The 22,570-nt window shown below is 47.8% G+C and overlaps 1 protein-coding gene across 13 annotated transcripts in view, besides 3 other annotated features; it reads left to right on the top strand.

The window, feature by feature from the left end:
- Positions 1 to 22,570, top strand: part of ATP11A (ATPase phospholipid transporting 11A) — a 197,131-nt gene that overhangs the window by 112,794 nt on the left and 61,767 nt on the right. For all 13 annotated transcript variants that reach the window (NM_015205.3, XM_011537480.3, NM_001405663.1 and 10 more), the window contains exons 3-10: positions 2,126 to 2,215; positions 3,382 to 3,462; positions 7,788 to 7,895; positions 13,252 to 13,380; positions 16,473 to 16,576; positions 17,069 to 17,119; positions 20,514 to 20,578; positions 21,513 to 21,594. In NM_015205.3, the coding sequence (NP_056020.2) occupies positions 2,126 to 2,215; positions 3,382 to 3,462; positions 7,788 to 7,895; positions 13,252 to 13,380; positions 16,473 to 16,576; positions 17,069 to 17,119; positions 20,514 to 20,578; positions 21,513 to 21,594 (710 nt within the window). The remainder of the gene's footprint in view (positions 1 to 2,125; positions 2,216 to 3,381; positions 3,463 to 7,787; positions 7,896 to 13,251; positions 13,381 to 16,472; positions 16,577 to 17,068; positions 17,120 to 20,513; positions 20,579 to 21,512; positions 21,595 to 22,570) is intronic.
- Positions 574 to 813: an enhancer, noted in NCBI's record as "active region_8035". NCBI's record gives its function as "activates an Ori minimal core promoter by ATAC-STARR-seq in GM12878 lymphoblastoid cells {active_cell/tissue: GM12878}" and the evidence as "EXISTENCE:reporter gene assay evidence [ECO:0000049][PMID:35858748]".
- Positions 3,803 to 4,484: an enhancer, noted in NCBI's record as "H3K27ac-H3K4me1 hESC enhancer chr13:113460948-113461629 (GRCh37/hg19 assembly coordinates)". NCBI's record gives its function as "activates a minimal SCP1, AML or CMV promoter by ChIP-STARR-seq in naive H9 embryonic stem cells {active_cell/tissue: H9 hESC(naive)}" and the evidence as "EXISTENCE:reporter gene assay evidence [ECO:0000049][PMID:30033119]".
- Positions 5,848 to 6,527: an enhancer, noted in NCBI's record as "H3K27ac-H3K4me1 hESC enhancer chr13:113462993-113463672 (GRCh37/hg19 assembly coordinates)". NCBI's record gives its function as "activates a minimal SCP1, AML or CMV promoter by ChIP-STARR-seq in primed H9 embryonic stem cells {active_cell/tissue: H9 hESC(primed)}" and the evidence as "EXISTENCE:reporter gene assay evidence [ECO:0000049][PMID:30033119]".

Raw genomic sequence — 22,570 nt, forward strand, 5'->3', positions numbered from 1 at the left:
AGCCACTGACTGGGAGAATAGATTTGCAAAACACACATCTGATAAAAACCTGGTATCAAACAACACATGGAAAATAAGGGTGTTTGGATGGGTAGGGCGGGATGACCTAGGGAGGACATGGAAAGTTAGTTTCTTTTTTAAAACTCCAGAGACTCTCTTCTGGAGCTCCCCTTGCCTTTTTTATTACAGTCAACCTGAGATGGGAACTGAAAATATGGCCGTAGTTGTCATGAACTGGGGGGAGCCACTACTCTGTTTTTACCCTCATTAAGGAACTTTATTGTGAAAGGTAAAATCACTTTGTAAATGTGAATTAGAATAGAAAATGGAAATTCCTTATATACTCTCTAAGCCACTGGAAACTTGAGGCAGAGAAGTTTTAAAAGACGCACATGGATTTCCTCTGAAATATTTGTAAACACCAAATTCAGAACATGTTGGTTAGTTTAGGACCATACCAGGCTTTAGTTGTTACATTGAATTGTAAATAACTTATATTCATGAGCCTGGAATTAAAGAAATTCTTGGTATGAGAATTTGACAACTACTTCTGGCTTCCAGGAGCCAGAACCCACCTTCGAATGGGATTTTGAAATAAGCCCCGTTGAAGAGACACACAGATGGCAGAGGCCGCAGCACAGGCTGTGAGACCTTCTTCAGGTTTCGGTAGACTGTCTTCATTACGGCGTAAAAACATGTCAGATGAAATTTCAGAAACTATTTCCAAACTCAGTGAAGGTTCGTGACATCTGGGACGTTGTTGTTTTCAACACAGAAGTTGAATGAAACTGCTACAGAAGCAAAATGAGAAGTGTGGAGAGGAGATGCTGTGGTGGCTGGGCATTCTCCCTCCTTCCCCTCCCTCCCCTCCTTCTCTCATTCCCCTCCTTCCCTCCCTGACCTCCTTCCCCTCCTTCTCTCATTCCCCTCCTTCCCTCCTTCCTCTCCCTCCCCTCCCTGCCTTACTTCCCCTCCCTCCCCTCCTTCCTCTCCTTCCCCTCCTCCTCCTTCCTCTCCTTCCCCTCCTTTTCCTCCTTGCTTCCCTTCCTTCCCTCATTCCCCTCCTTCCCTCCTTCACCTCCCTCCCCCCATCCCCTCTCTGCCCTCCTTCCCCTCCTTTTCCTCCTTTCTTCCCTTCCTTCCCTCATTCCCCTCATTCCCCTCCTTCCCTCCTTCACCTCCCTCCCTGCCATCCCCTCTCTGCCCTCCTTCCCTCCTTTTCCTCCTTCCCTCCTTCACCTCCCTCCCCCCATCCCCTCTCTGCCCTCCTTCCCCTCCTTTTCCTCCTTCACCTCCCTCCCCCCATCCCCTCTCTGCCCTCCTTCCCTCCTTCACCTCCCTCCCTGCCATCCCCTCTCTGCCCTCCTTCCCCTCCTTCCCTCCTTCACCTCCCTCCCCCCATCCCCTCTCTGCCCTCCTTCCCTCCTTCACCTCCCTCCCCCCATCCCCTCTCTGCCCTCCTTCCCCTCCTTTTCCTCCTTCCCTCCTTCACCTCCCTCCCCCCATCCCCTCTCTGCCCTCGTTCCCCTCCTTCCCTCCTTCACCTCCCTCCCCCCATCCCCTCTCTGCCCTCCTTCCCCTCCTTTTCCTCCTTCCCTCCTTCACCTCCCTCCCCCCCATCCCCTCTCTGCCCTCCTTCCCCTCCTTTTCCTGTCCTTCCCCCTGAGGCCTCAAAGCCCCTGTGCCTGAGCTGTGGACAAGAAACACGCCTGCCTCAGAAGCTGCCTGGAGCTGGGTGAAGGCTTCCATTCAGCTCGCTGTCATGCTCTCACTCAGAGGAGAGATCATGCAGAAATTACTGAAGTAAAATGCTAATGTGTTGAGTTAATGATCACAGGTTTACGTTTTATAAAAGACATCTTAATAATCAAACTATTGTTGAGCTACCTTGCGTTTTATCTTGAATTCTCTGGAGTTAGGTAATTTACATACGTGTTTCAGAGTACACACTTTGTTTAAGCTGTCTTAGCTGTCAACAAACACTCTAAATTATGAATTATGAGTTTTATATCTAAAGCTAAACATTTTGTACTGTAAAATCCAGTGCTACTTACTATGCCCTAGAGTAACACTACAAGAGTAAAATCTGATCTCAATGATGGATGTTTGTTTTTCTTTTATGCAGTACACATTTTGGAACTTTATACCCAAGAATTTATTTGAACAATTCAGAAGAGTAGCCAACTTTTATTTCCTTATCATATTTCTGGTGCAGGTAAGGCCGGTCATTGTTTTCCATCTCATCACATATAAATCTAAATAAGTGACATTTTATTCTCAGGTAACTGCCACACGGCTAATGAAAGAGCAAGGACATGGTGCCCCTCACCTATGATTAATTTATTTATTTTCTTAAGGAAGGGCAAAATGTCTTGGTTCTGTGAGATCCACACAAGCTAAACTACACACGACGCTACTTTGGGTTTAAGTTGGTGACAGCCTTTCCTGCCCCTTTCCTTCTAGTACCAGAGGGGAAATCAGAGCTTTGTCATCATTTGGACAAGTTCACTGCCAAGCTATGCATCGTTACACTTAATTTACTCTTCCTAAGTGTGTGTGGATGCTCTAAAGAAAATCCAGGCCGGGCACAGTGGCTCGCCTGTAATCCCAGCACTCTGGGAGGATCACGAGGTCCAGAGATAGGGACCATCCTGGCCAGCATGGCTAAACCCTGTCTCTACTAAAAATACAAAAATTAGCTGGGTGTGGTGGTGCACACCTGTAGTCCCAGCTACGCGGGAGGCTGAGGCAGGAGAATCACTTGATCCCAGGAGTGGGAGGTTGCAGTGAGCTGAGATCGTGCCACTACACTCCAGCCTGGCGACAGAGCGAGACTGTCTCAAAAAAAAAAAAAAAAAGAGAAAGAAAAAGAAAGAAAGAAAATCCAAAGACAGTACACATGAAAAGAGAGTTTAAAGGAAAGAAAAAAAAGAGTGAAAAAATATCTCGGGGTATGAGTTAGGGAGCAATGTGCCAAATGTGTTTTAAGAACAGCACTCTAATTTTTCTAAATCATACAAAATGCTACTGAAGGACTTTAAAAATTTTTCCAACATTAAATTATTCAAATCATGTAATTAAAATGTGACACTGAGGCCGTGGGGTGAATTAATACAAGGCGTGCCCCGACTTCAGACTGGGTCTGCCACTCTCGGTGGTTTCCTTGAGCATGTTCCTTAATTTAAAAAAGGTGCCCTCATTTTAACAGTCAGTGAAATAGGACGATTGACTTGCTATCTCCCGTGGTGGGCAGTCAGGTGCCAGCAAAGGTCTTTAAATAAGTCAAAGCGAATGGGAAGTGCTGGCTCAGGGCAAACTAACCTGCCTGAAGTCACTCATTTGTGTTTTTGAAGATGATTTTACAATTCTCTCTTTCTGCAGTTGATTATTGATACACCCACAAGTCCAGTGACAAGCGGACTTCCACTCTTCTTTGTCATTACTGTGACGGCTATCAAACAGGTAAGCATTTTACAGACGAAAAAGAAGCAATCGTCATCTTCACCATGTGAATTGCCTTTCATTCAAAGCGAGGTGATTGGTTTGTTGTAGCTAGTTCACAGAAAATTCAACCAAGTTCTAGAAATTCATTTTTATAACTGCGTTAGATTGATACTTGAAGCGAAATAAGAGATGTTATATAATTTAGTTGCTAGTCTGGCACCATGCGAGTTCGAGAAGAAATCTGTGGTTTTCACATCCCAAATCACCCAGAGATGATCTGATCAGATGAGTCACTTAACCTTTCTGTATCCTTGACTGTCTTGACCACCACAGAACATGCTGTTTATGGACTCCAGCAAATGGGATGCTGTTTTTTGTTTGTTTGTTTTTGGTTTTGCTTTTTTTTTTCATAGCCCCAGTAAATAAGGCCAGTGACTAACATGGAGAAGAATACATCTCAGTTTTACTCTCTACGTATCCATTTTATCACCCCCAGATTCCCTGTACACGTGTTCAGTCCCTCCCCATTTTCTCCTCCCCGTCCCTGGCAAAGACTCATGTTTCTGTCACCGTAGAGTCGCCTATTCTAAACATTTCGTACTCACGGCTCATAGGCGGTGTTTTGTGACTGGCTCTTTCACTCAGCATGATGTTTTCAAGGTTTCTCTGCATCTGAGCAGGCGTCAGCGCTTCATTCCGTCTGATGAATGAGTCACGGTCCCCTGCACATACCTGGCATTTTGTGTATCACGCGTCCTCTGTGGATGGACATTTGGGGTGTTTCCACTCTTTGGCTGTTCTGAATAATGCTGCTGAGAACATTTGTGTTTCACACCCACCAGATTGGCTTTCAGATGTGAAAGGCTGGAGAGGGCATGGCGAGGGAGGCACCACGGGCCGCCGGCAGGAGCGTGGCGGAGCCACCAAGCACAGCAGTTGGCAACATCTGACACAGGCAGAGATGGGGACACACAGGGTCCAGTGCAGATGATAAACATGCAGCTGTGCAGTCAGTACATGGGGCCTGTGTGTCTTCACTAGGCCAGAGCCGGCCGTGCCTACCGGGATACGTGAACTAGGATATTCATGGTGGCTGTCATTGATTAGCAAAGGACTCGGGCAACCTGGTGTCCCTCCGTAAGGAAATGGACAGCTCCGCCGCGGTGCATGGCAGAACACAGCACAGTAACGAAACGAACTGTGCTGCCTGGAGAACAGAACATGAGGGAGACTCACGCTTCCCAAGGACGCGCTGCCTGTGACTCAGGCAGTTTAACTCCTACCTGGGATAAGGCCTCACTTCATGTCGGTGGCAGGCTCTTGCAAACTTCAACTTTAAGCAAAACGATGGGTTTTCTCATCAACTTCACAAGGAAATGGTGCTGAAGGAAACGATGTTACTCGGGGACCTGCCATGTGTCCTCGGGCCCAAAGTCACAGTTTCCAGGAACCCATCGTGGAGATTAGGTGAGGGCGTCCCGTGCTATCTGTGATACATCTGTGTGGTAGGAGCAGAGGCTGCAGACAGGAAGGAGACCCCTGAGCCTCTCAAGGGGAGCAGAGAGAAGGGGCGCGGGGGTGCAGAACAAGGGGCTGAGGCTCTATGGCTCTGTTCTTTCCAGCCTGGCCCCAGGAGGCAGGCGTAGCACTGTTCTTCAGCGTCCTCTTCTCTGCATTTGTTAAGGATTCCATCCCTCCCGGGACTCTACTGAGCAGGAAACTCCTGAGATCTCCAGGAGTGTCCTGGAGGAGAGGAGAGGAGAGCGTGGAGTAGGGAGGGCGGCTCTGAAGACGCATCTGGGCCAGAGAGGCAGCGGCCGGGGAGCCCGAGCCCCCATGGATGCAGAGGCTGCCTCTCTACACTGTGCAGACCACGGCCCCAGACAACATGTGGTGTCCTCGGCCCGGCTGTGCCCCATCCCTGGCTGTGTCCCCTCCCATCGGCCTGGCTATGTCCCCTCCCTGGCTGTGTCCCCTCCCATCCCAGGGCAGTGGGCGGGCGTTTTGGGGATGTTAAGAGGGGGTCAGGGCAAGGCGGCAAATGAACAGAGCTGCAGTTCTGGGCCCCATCACCAGCACCCCTGCCTCTGCCCAGAGGGGTCTCTTCCTCTCCCGCGCGTCCTGCTACCCAGCTTTCACTCTGGGGATGGCCTTGCTTCCCCTACTGCTGGTCTGGACCTGTGTGTGCCAGAGCCCCCCCACCCCCTCGACCTTCCCCCACTACTGACCTCCTTGTCCCTCTTCCTTGGGAACAGCGCCTCTGTCCGCAGCTGGGACTTTCCCAAATGGCCTCCCCACACTGTGGCTCCAGCAGGGCTGTTTGTGCTGGGGTCCCCATGCTCCCGGCCCCTCCTCGCTTGCCTTGGAAAGCCCCCTGCACTCACAGAGGCCTCCCTGATTTTCTCTTAGGTCCCCGCCTCTCTTTTCACACCATCTCCCCGCTGTCTCCGCTGGGCACTGACGGGCATCTCACTGTACCTGGCTCTGCCGCCGCCATCGCCCAGGTCCTGCCAGAGCGGCCTTTCCCTGTGGCACCCAGCCTCCCCTGCTATGTGCAGGGCCCCTCCGATCAGCCCATCACATGCATGGGCCTCCACGTGTCCTTCCCGTCCCAGCCAGGCTGGCTGGTGGGCAGTGCCAGCCCCTGGGGACTCCCTCACCGCTGGGCATTCCTGGGCACCTCCTCTTTGGCGTCTTCCCGCAGCCCGGGCGCTAGGCTTTTCGGGGATCCTGGGTGTCTCTCACCTGCATTGAACTTGCAGTTATTTCTGTTTCTTCTCCACCAATCCTGAGAGCAGCAGCTCTGGGGACAAGGTCTTTCGTCTGTGGGCCCCTGGTGCCTGGCACTTGCTGAGCATGCAGTTGGTGCTAAATAAGTGTGTTTAATGAACCCAGGAATCATCTACCCACTGCCACCTTCCAGGAAGACTGTTCTTCAGTTTCCCCAGAAAGAGAGTATTTCAGCGATTTGGGAGGAATCTCTGAAAAGCAATCAGATGCCACAGTGTCACTTATTAATGGTCACAGCTGGAGAAAGCTCGCACGTTTGGATATCCATGCGTCCCAGGCTTCTTAATTCTCCAGAAGCTGGAGGTTTTGGGTTACTTGTTTATGCTCCCTTCGGAGGAGACTCCAGTCACAGGGCCACTGATGCCGCCACGTGGCCCACAGGGAGGAGGTCCCCAGTGAGCCTCCTGCCCCACAGGCTCTTGCAACCTACCTGCAGCGGGCCCGTGGCACAGGCTTCCTGCCGCCATCCTGTGTGGTTGTGTGTCTCAGCACACATGCAGTGGGCCCGTGGCACAGGCTTCCTGCTGCCATCCTGCGTGGTTGTGTGTTGTGTGTGGCAGAGCTGTGTTTCCAATTTCGACACTCATTAGATGCGGTGGACGTGGACGCCCATAGGCCCCTGGTGTGCAGTCTCTCACATGCTGGGGATTGTTACTGAGAACGGCATTCCCCATCCTTATCTAAGGCACCTGCACCCAGCAACGCCAAACACAAAGGCACGTTTGTCATCCCAGGAATCATCTGTGTGCAGCATCTCCTATTGTCGCTTCTTTCAAGATGCCACCTGACTGTCCAACCAGAGGGTGTGCCTTCGTAGTTGGAATCGGAGTGCACGTGTCTGCGCCAGTGGAAGGCATCCAGGTCCGTCAGCGCGGCCGGGGTCAGGGTTAGCTCAGGCTGCTTTTCCAGCCCCCTGCCTGTGCGTGCACGGGAGTCACGATGGGATGTTTCCCGCGTGGGTTACTCAGATGCGGAAACGCACAGAGAGCCTTAAGGCTGCTGCGGGTGTCACAGAGTGAGCCGGCGTTTCACCGAGAGTCTGGGCTGCCAGATCTCATAACAATCAGTTTTTAATGAAAGAGAAGAATGGCCAGTGGGGGCTTTTCCAAGTGGAAGGTTGACACTCAGCGGGTGGAAATGTAACTGGCTCCACGTCTTCGGGGCTTTTCGGTGTGGATGTGAAGAGCCTGGAAGGCTTGCTCATCATTTCATTCAGACACTTCTTTTTTAGGAATTTATCCTAAGTCCATGTCATGAATAGGCACAAAAAGTACAGTTGTATAGTACTTATACACACTTCGATGAGCATCTTTCTCCAACGTCTTCGAAGTTCTACAACTGCAGACATTTAAAGCAGCTCGCGTTGCCATGGAACATGCCGATGCTCTGTCAAGGATAGTGTGTGTAGTGCATCCTCATGCTGAAAAATACACCCCCACAGGCTTGGATTATGCTTAGACATAATTAAACACAAGCCTTCTGTCTCTCCCTCCCTTTCTCCTCCTTCCCTCTCTCCCTGCTTCCTCTCTCCCTTCTTTCCTTCCTTTTTTTAGGGTTATGAAGACTGGCTTCGACATAAAGCAGACAATGCCATGAACCAGTGTCCTGTTCATTTCATTCAGCACGGCAAGCTCGTTCGGAAACAAAGTCGAAAGCTGCGAGTAAGTGACACCCGACACATTTACGCTGGTGAAGTCCAGTAACTGTTTAAAAAATAAGTTTTACCCAGGTGCAGTGGCTCGCGCCTCCAGTCCCAGCTACTCAGGAGGCTGAGGCAGGAGGATCGCTGAGCCTGGAAGTCGGAGGCCACTCAGGAGGCTTCACCGTGCCTGTGAATAGCCACTGCTCTCCAGCCTGGGCAACCGAGAAAGACCCTGTCTCTTAAACATTTTTAAAATACAAATAATAAATGTTTTTAAGTTTTTATTTTCTTTGGCAAAACAGACTGAGATGTTTTTTATTGGGTGTAGGCCCAAGCTCCCTACTTCTTTTTTTTTTTTTTACCTTTAATTTTTATTTGTTTATGTTTAATAGACTTTTTAGAGCAGTTTTAGGTTCACAGCAGCATTAGGTGGATGTACCCACTGCCCCTTCCAACACACACACACACACACACACACACACACACACACACACACACAGCCTCCCTCTGCCAGCATCCCACACCAGGATTGGTGGAATATAAAATCATTATCACTGCCCCCATCCCCACACACACCCTCCCTCTGCCGGCATCCCATGCCAGGATTGGTGGAATTTAAAATTATTATCACCACCCCCATCCCCACACACAGCCTCCCCATCACCAGCATCCCACGCCAGGATTGGTGGAATTTCATCCCACACCAGGATTGGTGGAATTTAAAATTATGGGAACACACGAACCAATCAAGACAGAGAAAGATTGGAAACACTGTTTCTAAAATTTGTTTTAGAATAAAGTATAATAAAATCATATCAATATAAACTCGACTAGGTGGAAATTTATGAAAATTGGAACAGAAAACTTCATTGAAGATTGCATTTTTTTAAAAAAAATGTATTTATTTATTTTTTAAGAGACAGAGTCTTGCTCTGTCACCCAGGCTGGAGTGCAATAGCATAACCTCAGCTCACTGCAACCTCCGCCCCCGGGTTCAAGTGATTCTCCTGTCTCAGCCTCCCCAGTAGCTGGGATTACAGGCGCCTGCCACCACACCCAGCTAATTTTTGCATTTTTAGTAGAGATGGGGTCTTAACAAAATGTTGGCCAGACTGGTCTCGATCTCCTGACCTTGTGATCCGCCTGCCTTGGCCTCCCAAAGTGCTGGAATTACAGGCATAAGCCACCGCATCCGGCCAAAAAATTGTTTTTTATTGATGTATAATAGTTGTACGTAGTTGGGGGTCCATGTGATATTTTGATGCCTGCACACCAATGTGTGATGATGAAGTCGGGGTAACTGGGATGTCTGTCACCTCAAACATTGATTCTTTGTGTTGGGAATATTACAGTTCTTCTTGAAGGCTGCATTTTAAATCTGTTTCAAATGAATTATCTGTGTAACTAATATCTCAATATGTTTCAAAATATGTGATTAAATTATTTAAATGAGATAGTTTCAAGCTTATACTAGTCATTTGGAAGCACCTTTATAGGTAGAAACCATGAGTGTGGTTTTTCACGTTTGTGTCAAGGTAGCGGTCAGCAGCCTGCTCCAGTCCCCCATCTGATGTGGATCTAGGTGCCAGGCCCACACCGGCCCCTTCCTGCCCCCACTGGTCCTCGTGCACCCTGCCTGGCTCTTTCCAACTCCCACGCCTCCCTCCCTCGTGCAGCCCCACTGCCTCCCTGGCTGTTTTCCCAGCTGAGCCGTAGGAGGTTTGGTGAGGGAGGCAGGGAGCACCCCAGTCCTGTGCATGTGGAGAGCCAGGTGCGTTCCAGAAGCCTGGAGGGAGGGCCTCCAAGCAGCCCAGCCAGCCTGGGCTCAGTGAACCTCTCCGGACAAGGCCGCAGCCCTTCCCTGTCCAGTGGGACGGGACCCCAGGAGGCACTCAGAGGCCCTTCAGAGGAGCCAGCATCAACCACTAACCCCCCACCGCTCACCTTGCTCTCACTGTTCTGTGTATCACACACGTCACCAAATGTACTTTTAAGCATTTAAACATTTTCACTTATAAACGTGCTATCCAGGTGTTTAAATGCTTCTGAGACAGCTTTTCCCTTCAGTGAGTTCAGATGAGTGATGTTTCCCTAGAGGTCGGGGGTTCAGAGAGCAGATGGCCCTGGCCTGGGGAACAGCCGCGAGCTCCATGCCTGTGTCAGCAGGCATCCGGTCCCAGGCCTTCAACGCCATTTCCTTTAATGATTATATTTCCCTTGCAAAGCCTTCATACTTGTAGCTAAACATCTTTCTTAAAAAATAGACCTAAACAGTGTCTGCCCACAGAAAATTGAATTTTTAATGTATCGGTCTTCTGTGGGAAATGCCAGCTCTGTATCCTGTGTGTCGTAACCAAGAGGATGCTAAACAGGCTACTCAGGACGAGAAAGAAAAGATCAGGCTTTTCCTACAACGGCAGACATCCAGCTTCCATCGGTCGTAATGGCTCAGGCCTTTGAGAGTGCTAGAGCGTCCTAGAAAAGCAGTCCTTTAATTAGTTTTTCTTTTTTAATTAAACTTTTTATTTCGAGGTAATTACGGGATCACATGTGGTAGTAAGAAATAAAACACAGGCATCCTGTGTTCCATTTGCTCGGATGTGCTGCCCAGCTCTAAGATTTTGTCATCTCAAGGATATGATATAAAGAGAATCCTGCAGCCTGTGACCTTTTGGGGTTGGCTGTTTTCAGGCAGTCTAATTCCCTCGGGATTCACGAAGTCTGTGCACCAGCCATTCCTTCCCTTGTATTGCTAAGGAGCGTTCCATGATGGGGGCGTACTGCAGTTTCACCATTCACAAGTTGAAGGGCTTTTCGATTTTTCTAGTTTGGGGCTGTTATCAAGAGAGCTGCTATGAATATTTGTGTGCAAGTTTTCTTGTGAATTTAGTTTTCATTTCTTTTGCATAAAAGCTCAAGAGTTGGATTGCTGGGTCATCTAGCATATCCACGTTTGGTTTTGAAAGGAACTGCCAAATGGTTTTCCAGCATGGCCATCCCATTTCATTCCCACGCACGACGTTGCCAGCATCTTCACCAGCACTGGGTGTTACTGCTGTTCCTGATGTCTCGGTGCAGCTTAAATATGTCCCTGACGGCTCTGTGGGACATCTTTTCACGCTCGTTTGACATCTGCATATCCTTGTCAGTAAAAATAACTCTTCATGTCTTTTATCCATTTTTCTAGCTGGATTCTTTGAGCTTCTTTTTACTGTTAAATGTTGAGAGGTCATATAATCTAGATAGTAATACTTTGTCAGATATATGATTTTTAATACTCAGCAGGATATTTCACAAAGCAAACGTTTTTAATTTTGTTCAAGTCCAATTTCTTGATTTTTTTTTTCTTTTTTTTAAAATTATTATTTCTTTTGAGACAGAGTCTTGCTCTTGTTGCCCAGGCTGGAATGCAGTGGCGCAATCTCGGCTCACTGCCACCTCCACCTCCCAGGTTCAAGCTATTCTCCTGCCTCAGCCTCCCAAGTAGCTGGGATTACAGGCGTGCACCACCATGCCTGTCTAATTTTTTAGTGTTAGTAGAGATGGGGTTTCACCATTTTGCCCAGGCTAGTTTTGAACTGCTGGCGTCAAGTGATCTGCCTGCCTCGGCCTCCCAAAGTGCTGGGATTACAGGGGTGAGCCACCACGCCTGGCTGATTTTTTTTTTTTCTTTTGAGGACTGTACGTTCAGTGTCCTGAATGAAGCATTCTTTGCCTGGTCCTAGACCCAAAGACTTTCTCCCATGTTTCTTTCTAAAAGTGTTATAGTTTCATGTTTTACATTTAAGTTCATGATCCATTTTGAGATGATTTTTGTATAAGGTGTGAGGTTTCAGTCAGGTTTGTTTCTGTCCTTATTATTTTGCCCGTGGCTGTCTTGTCGCCCCTGCACCAGGGGATGGCTGGCTGTCCCTTTTCCACGGAGTGGCGCTTGTACTCTGTCCCAGTCAGTTAAACACATTTGCATGGGTCTGTTTCTGGTTCCCTGGTCTGTCCCATTGGTCTCCATGCCCATGCCCACCAATCCCACACTGTTGGTCACTGTAGCTGTCTCAGAAGGCTGGACATTGGGGATACGTATTCCTTCCCCCTCAATCTTCTTTTTCAAGGTTGTTTTAGCTATTCTAGAGCCTGTGCCTTCCCATATAAGTTTTAGAATTAGCTCATTTATATCTATAAAAATCCTTGCTGGGATTTTGATAGGGATTTTACTAAACCCAAAGGTCCATTTGGGAAGAGTAACCCTCTGATTTTAAAGTCTCACAAATTCGCAGTGTGCTGTGACCATCGTGTAGTGGGACAGAGACCTCTGTTTGCAGTGTAGACAGAAGCAGGTGACGCCCTGATCCTGGCATGCCTCCCGAGTGGCAGTGAGACTGGCTGGAGCCCTGCAGTGACTCACTCAAGGGTTCTGATGATCGTTTCCCCTTCAGACATGCAGCCCAGATCTGCAATGGCTTCCTCACCCTTCAGACACACAGTCCAGATCTGCGATGGCTTCCTCACCCTTCAGACACACAGTCCAGGCCACTGAGATGCCTTCCTCACCCTTCAGACACACAGTCCAGATCTGCGATACCTTCCACACCCTTCAGACACACAGTCCAGATCTGCGATACCTTCCACACCCTTCAGACACACAGTCCAGGCCACCGAGATGCCTTCCTCACCCTTCAGACACACAGTCCAGATCTGCTATGCCTTCCTCACCCGGCAGACACACAGTCCAGATCTGCAATGCCTTCCTCATCCTTCAGACACACAGTCCAGACCTGTGATGCCTTCCTCACCCTTCAGACACACAGCCCAGGCCACTGAGATGCCTTCCTCACTGATGAAATAAAATGGATACAGACACAAACTAGACCATGACCTTTAATTAAAAACCCACATGATCAACTTTCTGTGATTGATTTTTACTTTAGTTTTTGAAACATTGTTGCCACTTTTGCTTTATTTGTCCTCATGCTTTGATGATCTGGGCAGCGCCTTGGTTCTGTTGATCAGGAAGCTCTCAGAACTCGATTACCTGGTTCATAAAACGCCTAGATTTAGATCAAAGCTTCTCACAGGAGTACTTCCCACTTGGCCACGCTCACAGAACACTCCAACTCGTCGTCTTGGTCTGAATCAAAGATAACCTTGTTACAGGTGTTTGTCTGTGTTTTTGCTGCGGAAGTTAGAACATTGAAACCTGACCTGGTCTTTCCTTGGTCCCAGCAGAATGTCTGGCAAGAGTCTTTTCCTGAAACCGTGTCCACATCCCCGTGTCTTCCTGTGAATAGATGAGCAGCTTGAGGGAAGCGGTCCCACAGGACGGGCAAGCTTTCACGGAGGGGCTTTCCATTGACCATCCTTTCTGCTTTGTCCTGTAGGTTGGGGACATTGTCATGGTTAAGGAGGACGAGACCTTTCCCTGCGACTTGATCTTCCTTTCCAGCAACCGGGGAGATGGGACGTGCCACGTCACCACCGCCAGCTTGGATGGAGAATCCAGCCATAAAGTAAGGGGCCTTTTCATTAGACTCCAGGGCAGGATCTTCCTGTCCTGCTTCGGACTGTGCCCATGCGGCCACAGAAACTAACATCCTGTTTGAAAAGTCACCGTTTTCATGTAACCCAGGGAGTTACACCAGCCATGTTTTTCCTCACTTTTCCTTCCTCCTATTTTCCACTTTCTTCTTTTTCCTTTTTAAAAATAAATTGTATTGTGTATATTTGAGGCATATATTATGATGTTATAAGATACATATTTTTATAGTGAAATTGTTATTAGAGTGCAACAAATTAACACACCCACATCTCACTGATTTCCCATTCTCTCCCCTGGCACCCATGCAGGAGCAGCCATAACCTACTCGATGCGGCAAAACCCTGAGCCCAGCACGCTCTTGTCCACTCAGTGCGGCAAAAACTCTGAGCCCAGCACGCTCTTGTCCGCTCTAGTCCTCGTGTTGTACGTTGGGTTTTTGGACAGTTCATCCTAAATAATGCTACCTTGTGTTTTTTGACCTACACCTCCCCATTTCCTTTTCACTTTTTCTTTCCAGTCTCAATGTCTGTAACAACCAATTACCTCAGGTTAACAAAAATAACTTCAGTGTTAACCTGTGTCAATTAGCTAATGTACCAAATTCAGGATTTAATGAATAGATTGTTGGAATTTTAAGAATTTTCATTTTATTAGTTAAAATTAGTGTGAAAACTGGCCTAGAATTATGTGAAAAGTCACACACGATTCTAGATTTTGCCTGTTACTTCAATGAGTGTCTTTTTGTGAATGTATCTTAGTCAGGATTTTCTGAAATTACTACATAAGTAATTTCCTGCACTCAGTATAAAATTCTGCACAGGCAGTTGATGCTACAAGAATTTTAATTGTCAATCATACAAGAAAAGATATAGCACCATTAATTTTAAGATTCTTCTTATTTAAAAAATCTTGAAGTTTCTAAGGAGTTTATGAAAGTGAGCATAGCTCAGTGGATTCAACTAAGTCATCAGCTCACAAAATTGCAACTCTAAAATGGTATTTAGGTAATACGTATGGATATAGGCCATTTCTACTATGAGATAGAGACATTTTCTTTACAAAATCACTGAAGGATATGCTAGTCTTTCATAGATAATTCATGATATGTATCATGAATTGATAGATGAAAAACCTATGGATCTTTTTCAGTTAAATTAGCTTTCACATTTTCTGTGTAGCATATCCCAGGAGAATGAACACGCTAACCTAAAAGATTGTCAGCAGTTTCTAGGGGGTCGGAATCCCTGGATGATTCAGGTATTCGCTGTAAGCGGGTGTTGGTCCCTCTGGAACCTGGGAGGAGGTTAAGGTTCCATCCACCCAGAGACCCTGTGAGCCCTTCACACTCTCTGCAGCCAGTCGCTGCCTTTACACCCCTTCCCTGCAGACTGTGGCTGGTCAGGCTCAGATGAGTCCCAGCCATGCTAGTGAACAGATGCTGTGGGTCTCCAGATACACCATGTTTGTCCAGATGAAATGTTGTAGCAGTTGTGGAAGATGTTAAAACAGCTATTGCACTTTGACCTTTTGTGGCTTTGCAGTTTGCATTATAGTTTTGTGTTCTCTAATGTCCTTTTTGTGCATTTTGTTTAGCTTGAGGGACTGGAATTATTTGAGCCCTTTCCTTAAAAGCAGAGTAGGGGCGTGGGAAGGGTCCACCCGACCTCTGTTTGGATCCCGTGGGGCTCACGTGACTGCACAGGCCTGTTCACTTCTCTGGACTCTTCACATTTGTGAAATGGGGACAACCCTATCTCTCAGGGGCTCTTGTGAGGATAAGATTAGAAAATTCCTACTGAATTTAGAAAATAAGCGCCCCCTGATTTGTGTGCTTGGTGACGGGGCAGTGACTGTTGGTGTGCTTGGTGACGGAACAGTGACCGTTTGTGCGCTTGGTGACACGGCGGTGACCGTGTGTGCGCTTGGTGACAGGGCGGTGACCGTCGGTGCGCTTGGTGACGGGCAGTGACTGTTGGTGCGCTTGGTGACGGGGCGGTGACCGTTGGTGCGCTTGGTGACGGGGCGATGACCGTTGGTGCGCTTGGTGACAGGCGATGACCGTTGGTGCGCTTGGTGACGGGGCGGTGACCGTTGGTGCGCTTGGTGACGGAACGGTGATCATTTGTGTGCTTGGTGACGGAGCAGTGACCGTGTCCCCCTGATTTGTGCACTTGGTGATGATGCAGTGATTGTTTCTCCCATTTGTTCTGACTCCTGTGTTTTATTTGTCCAATACTCTTCCACTAGAAAGAAACACAGGAAGGGATTCAGAGATGCTGTTGCCTCTTCGCAGATCCCTGGGCACAAGTTTCTCCTCTCTCCTCCCAAGGCAGGGCCGGTGCAGCCCTCATGCCCACCTCAGGTGGGCCTTCAGCCGACCTGCTGGTGCTCACAGATGCTACTGAGGTCACCAGGCCTCAAAATGTGTTCTGAGAGCAGCAGCATCGGCATCACTGGGCACCATATTAGAAGTGCAGTTCTCAGGCCCTCCCTAGACCCACTGCATCAGAAACTCTAGGGCTGAGCCCAGGAATCAGGTGCTTCAGAAGCTCTGGGTAAAACTCACGTTGAGACAGGCTTGAGGAGCCCCCCGGCCCAGGCCATGTGAACAGTTAAGTAGAAGGCCTGTGCCACCCAACAGCAACGGGCACAGGCAGGTTGTTGCCGAGAAGTGAAAATGAAGTGAAGTGATCCTGTGACCGCTCCCCGTAAACAACAGGGCGTTCTGTAAAAGGAAAGGGATATTTCAGGTCCTGGATTTGTTTCCTAATTAATAGCTACTACTATGACAGATAAATCAGTGTCTACCCTTGAAGAATTCGAGCATTGCTATCTGTCCTGTTAGTTTTAAGTGGAGGACACTGGGTAAGAATGGAAGGATGAGAATTTTCTGGCACCTGATAGGTGCAGGAATAACAGTAGTACCTTATCTTTCTGTAACTATTAAACATTTACAAACTCATAGGGTCAGCCAGGCTTTGTAATCACTTGGTTGGAGGCACCAGCGTCTGGGTTTGTGTTGACCGTTTTGGCGGTGAGCTCACATGTCTTGTGCATTTGTAGACGCATTACGCGGTCCAGGACACCAAAGGCTTCCACACAGAGGAGGATATCGGCGGACTTCACGCCACCATCGAGTGTGAGCAGCCCCAGCCCGACCTCTACAAGTAAGCGGGAGCTTTGGGTTCTTTAGAAACGGTTTTTTATGCCCTCAACATTGCTCTTGCTTTTTCACCCCAAGTAGTCCAGCCATGTGGTGGTTTGGAAAGAGAATGTAAATCACTGCTTAAAGATTAAGACTGAGTCAAAAATACATTACTTATTTATTCTCATAGACTTGTACCACTCAGATTTGTAGCTTTTTATACAAATATTTGAAGTGGCTTCGTGGAACCATATTTGTGGGAAAAAAAAAGAATAAGTTTTCTTTATTTTACGGAAGACGTTTGTAAACTGTGGGTTAAGGAAAATCACCGAAGCCATGAGCTGATCAGAACAGAAAGTACGACAAGGGAAGGGGCTGGAGCGGGGCTGCTTTAGCCGCACACGGAGCGGGCCAGGTGAAGACGTGTGGCTCACAGAAGGCAGGTGGGCCAGGCGCGCGCTTCCCGGGGGCCGCTGGGCGCGTCCGGTCAGTAACGTGGCTTTTCTGTCGCCAGGTTCGTGGGTCGCATCAACGTTTACAGTGACCTGAATGACCCCGTGGTGAGGTGAGTGCCTCTGCGGATGCCTTGGCCACGGTCACCTCCCTTGTTGCGTTAGAAATGCATTCTTTGACGGACAAGGGTTTCCACGGCGGCTGCTCTGGTAGATTTGGAAGGTGGAGTTCCGCTTTCCCACAGGGCCGGGCTCCACTCTCGTCTCTGGTTTGTCTCAGGCACACATCTGTGAATGTTGACAAGTTAGTGATGCTCGTGAAACAAGTTTTCGCGCAAGACTCTGCCGAGAGGGTCGTCTCACAGGCCAGGAGGCGTCAGGGTCCCGTGGAGCAGTTTCAAAGTGAAGGGCGGAGTACAGCTTCCCTGGGAGAAATGCCCTTTCATGATTCGGGTACTGATTTGTCTTCAGATATGAAATTGAAAGACTTCTAATTTGGAGGCCGTTTTTGGGAATCTGTTCATCCACTCACCATCATTCTGGGGTGCATTACTGGCTCAAGGCCTATCTGAGGCTCACACCTACCTGAGAAGGTGGAATCGGTAGCCGGGGCAAGGCCGGGCAGCTCACGGTTGGCTGCTGTGCCTTCCCATTCACCAGCATGGACCCAGCGGCAGTCACATCGCATACCCATGAGGAAACAGCGACCCTCAGACACCTCATCTATGGCCCCGAGGCAGCCTCGGCTGAGAGCCAGCCTGTGCTGAGCCCAGCTCTGAGCAGCACCCACCTCCCAGGCCTAGGGATATTTTCTCTGACATTATTTCAAGATCTAGCATTTGTTGCTGACGAGATATTTGAATGTCACAGTTTAGGGAATTGGCTTTCACTGGATTTTAAAGTTGCATCTTCTTCATAAACTCCACTTGTTAGGGAAATGATTTTTCTTCCATTGTAAGCACTCTCCAAGTTGTTGATGTCTGGGTAGGTACAGCATTGTGTGTTAAACAACACATCTCCCAGACACAGAAACACACTCACTGGGAAACTACTGCAAAGTGAATAGTTCCTGAAATGCTTAGCTCCTTGTAAGTCTCCAGGAGCTACTGTTTTAAGAAAACCATTTGTGCACTTCTTAGCATGTGCTTGTTATCATTACCCATCAGCAGGCTAGGAGGTGCTTTCGAGAACTGATAGTGACCTTGCCTTGGTTTGCCTACGTATATACTGTTCTAAAGGTAAATTCCTCCTTACTTTGGAGAAATCTCTTGTATTTCTGTGTGCCGTGAGAATTAATTTGTGTTTGAACAGACTTAGGCTTATTCATATTACCTATGGGATGAATCCAAAATAGTAAACATTGCAGGCTTTTCATCTTTATAGTTAGACCAAGTTTATTGCTGAACAACTTGGGACGATAATTGCTAATGTATTTTGCATTTTGATACTAACTCTGGTTTCACTTTTATTTTATATATTTTATTTTATTTTATTGGAGACAGAGTCTCGCTCTGTCACCAGTCTGGAGTGCAGTGGCACTATCTCAGCTCACTGCAGCCTCCACCTCCCGGGTTCAAGCAATTCTCCTGCCTCAGCTTCCTGAGTAGCTAGGATTACAGGCGTGTGCCACCATGCCCAGCTAATTTTTGTATTTATAGTAGAGATGGGGTTTTGCCATGTCGGTCAAGCTAGTCTCAAAACGCCCTCAGGTGATTCACCCACCTCGGCCTCCTAGAGTATTGGGATTATAGGCATGAGCCACCGCGCCTGGCCTAGTTTCACTTTTAAATATTTATGGTATTCCATAGACTTTTAATATTTAGATTATTGAAGATGTTTGTAAATTTGTGATGTGGACAGTTAAGAATTACGCACCCAAATTCTCAATCCATTCAGAGTGACGTTTCTTCTTCCTTCTGTCCTAACTAGAAGCAAAGTACTTTTCCAAGTAAATTATTTTTAGACTTCCCTGAGTCACTTTTTAAAAACGCTGTTTGTTTTCGTAAACACATGGCAGGAATTATTATAAGTGTGTTGCAAACAGAAGCTGACAGTCCTTATAACACAGCCAGACAACCCATATGCAGCCTGGGAGCTCCATCTTTAGTGATTGCCGGGGAGGACGCGCGTGGAGCCCTCAGCCGCAGCCTGGGGTAGACAGCCCCACTCTGCCTGTCTTCAGCCGGATGCAGTTCTGAGGTCTATCGACCAAATATACTGCATGCATTTTACATTCATAATATTCAGTAGGTTCTTAATTTTCCATGATAGAAGGACAGTAAATACAATGATAAATGAAAAGCAAACTTCAGCAAACACTTTTGACCCTTTACCCTCTGAAGCAATCCTCTGAATGTTATCAATAGCAAAATTTATACATTTGAATCTTGCTGCTTATTTCTCCCTTACTACTTAGGAAATGAGAAGAGATTATTTTTCCATCAGCAGGGAACCCTGTTATATCAAGAATATAAGCCCCTGATGGCAGAGACCCTGCCTGCTGCTTATGTGGCTTCAGTGCACAGAACGGGGCTTGTTCTTCCATGTGTGAGATTTTTAAGTTCTTTGGCTGTTGCTTGTTTTCCCCCCAAAGCAGCCATGCATGGATTGTCCCAGATTTACATGTCCCCCCCATTCAGAGGAGCTTTGCAGTGTGGCTACCAGTGTTTCTAATGGCCAGATAGAGTATCAGCCTTTGTCTCCAGGAATAAGACTGTGTTTCATGGGACTCCCTGAATCTCACTGAGGATGTAATAGAAACAATTGAGGCTGGGCATGGGGATGCCCAACTGTAATCTCAGCACTTTGGGAGGCCAAAGCTCAAGTTCACCTGAGCCCAGGAGGTCAAGGCTGCAATGAGCTATGATCGTGCCCCCAGCCTGGGCGACAGAGTGAGACCCTGTTGCAAAAAAAAAAAAAAAAAAGGAAACAGTTGAAAGTTGAGTGACTTTTATTTTATTTCACATCCACCCCTCTTTAGCCTTTCCAGAACATTCTGGGACCTTCCAGTGCAGCTGTTCTCAACCTGAGGCTTGTTAGGAGAGGGCTGCTGGGCCCCACCCCAGGGTTTCAGGTTCTGACTCGGTAGGCCTGGGACGATCTTCCTGACTAGTGTGATGGTTCCTGACTGGCTCCAGGTGCTGCTGACGGCACTGGTGGGGCCACCTCAGGGACCCCTGCTCTAGAGGTCTCTCGGGGAGTGTTGCTGAGGCTGCCGGGCGCAGCTCAGTGGGTCTGGATGGGGCCTGAGGTCCCGCATGCGCCAATGGGAGGCCCTTGCCGCTACTCCTGGAGCCATGTGTTCGTCCCCCAAAGATAAGCCCACATCTGTTCACATGGACCTGGGCTGACTTAATCATCTGAATATAAGCAAACCTCCGTGTATGCCATCTCCTCTGAAAATGAGATCTGCTGAGCAAACAAGTGGGTTTCACGTCTGCCTCTTGCCCCCCGCCCTGCCCACTTGCCTTCGTGTCCGCATCATTTCTGATCATCGTATCTTTACAGGCCCTTAGGATCGGAAAACCTGCTGCTTAGAGGAGCTACACTGAAGAACACTGAGAAAATCTTTGGTAAATATTTAATTAATTATTAACCATTGCCCCTAACATTAAGGATGCATGAAGCAAAAGTTAAAACCCGCAGCGGAACCCGAGAGCGTTTCTTGGCACCTTGAGGTGCTGGAGGCTTTCTGGCCGCGCAAGTTCTGCCCCACTGAGATTTGATCAGTGAATAAGTGCAATCCTGAAGCAGCAGCATCAGAGAATACGGCTTACGGATTAAGGCCTCTAGTTTTGGATTCAGAAACAGAACATTGCATCCGTGAAGGAATTTGTGAAGTTTAGTTGTGCAGGAAATGTTTTTCATGTCTGCGTTTCTTGACTAGGATCTCCCATTTCTTGTGGGTTATTGTCTGTTTTAATTGAGGTAACCTTTAGAAGTATACAAGTGTGCCCCACTGTCAGAAAATGCTGTGCAGGTGTTCCTCAGTGTCCTTGGGGGACTGGTTCCAGGATGCCTGCAGATGCCAAAATCCACGGATGCCCAAGGCCCTATTTGCATGTAGCCTACGCATGTCTGCCCCTGTAGTTCACATCATCTTAGATTACTTCTGATACCTAGCACGATGTAAATACCCTGTACTGTTTTTATCGTCTGTATTTTGTATCATTGTATTGTTATTTTTATTGGGGATTTTTTTCAAATATTTTCCATCCCCAGTTGGTAGAACCTGCAGATTAAGAACTCGTGGACATGGTGGGCCCAGTGTATATTAAGATATGAACTCTTAAAAAATGAAGCATAGATTGCTTCCTATGCATGAAGAAGGGTCTTTATCCTAAGGAATCAAGTGCTAGTGTTATGTGGCTATGGACACTAGCTTATGAAATTAAAAATAGGATTCGCTTTACCCAAGAATTGATTTTCCCCGCAGCTGTGTGTAACTCACCATAAGGCAAGACACACTTGCGCCCTGGTCATCACCCTTGCTCTTCCTCTCTGTAGGTGTGGCTATTTACACGGGAATGGAAACCAAGATGGCATTAAATTATCAATCAAAATCTCAGAAGCGATCTGCCGTGGAAAAGTAAGGCTGGATGCGCGTGAGAACCTGCAACTTAAAAGTGTCATTACCCACTGTAGAAATGGAAGTAGCTTCCTCTTGGCCTTATTGGCAGTTCCTTTGCCACTGTACAGCATCTTAGTAACTGCAGAGCTGACCATTCAGATGGTCTTTCTTATTTTGTGGTGAGGTGGATGGCCACACCCCTCCTTCCTGCTCTTTCTAACGCCTGATACCAGGTTCACAGCGCTGCCTCTTACGGACGCCCTGACGTTCCGGTTCTGAAATCAGTTCAGTATCCAACAGCTCCTCTCACCATTTCATGAAAAACTCCAAATGGGCTTACTTTTAACTCTGGGATTTGGTCAAAACCACGTATTCTCTGCTATGGTTTTACAAAGGAAAGCGTTAGCAGAGAGAACAGAATCATCTTTTCATTAAACAGTAAAGTCCTGATGATAAATATGTCAGGATGGTAGCTGAATTTGTGCTGGAAAAGAAAGGCTTCTTCCTGAGATCTGCTAAGACCTTAGTTAAGGATCTGTGCTTTTCCTGTACTGAGGACACTTCCTTTCAGAGTTATTTACTTTTCTCCCCCTCCTTTCCTCCCTCCCTCTCTTCCTTCCTCTCCTTTCCTTCCTTCCTCTACAGTGGTGGGTAGTCACTAAGTTTTGAACTAATTTGTTGATGCTTAATGGTAGAAATTGATTTCTGGATGTACTTTTCAATGACGGAAGTCCAGGCAGTGCAGAAGCATGGTCCGCAGTGTGGCTGTGAGCAGCCCTCTCTCTCCTGCTTGTGGCACTTTACCCCGTCTTGGTTCTTACCTTTGACCTCTAGAAGTACGTGCCAGGGACCATGGCATGGACGCAAGTGCAGAGGACCCACCGTGGTGCGTTGAGGGCGAACACATCACTGTGCCCTTCCTATTCTGTTTCTTCACGAGGTGTCATCTTGATATCTGTGAGAAGGAAGTGCAGAGCTCATTTCCTCAGGGACC

The sequence above is a fragment of the Homo sapiens genome, chromosome 13, assembly GCF_000001405.40.
Source record: "Homo sapiens chromosome 13, GRCh38.p14 Primary Assembly".
Classification (NCBI taxonomy): Eukaryota; Metazoa; Chordata; class Mammalia; order Primates; family Hominidae; genus Homo; species Homo sapiens.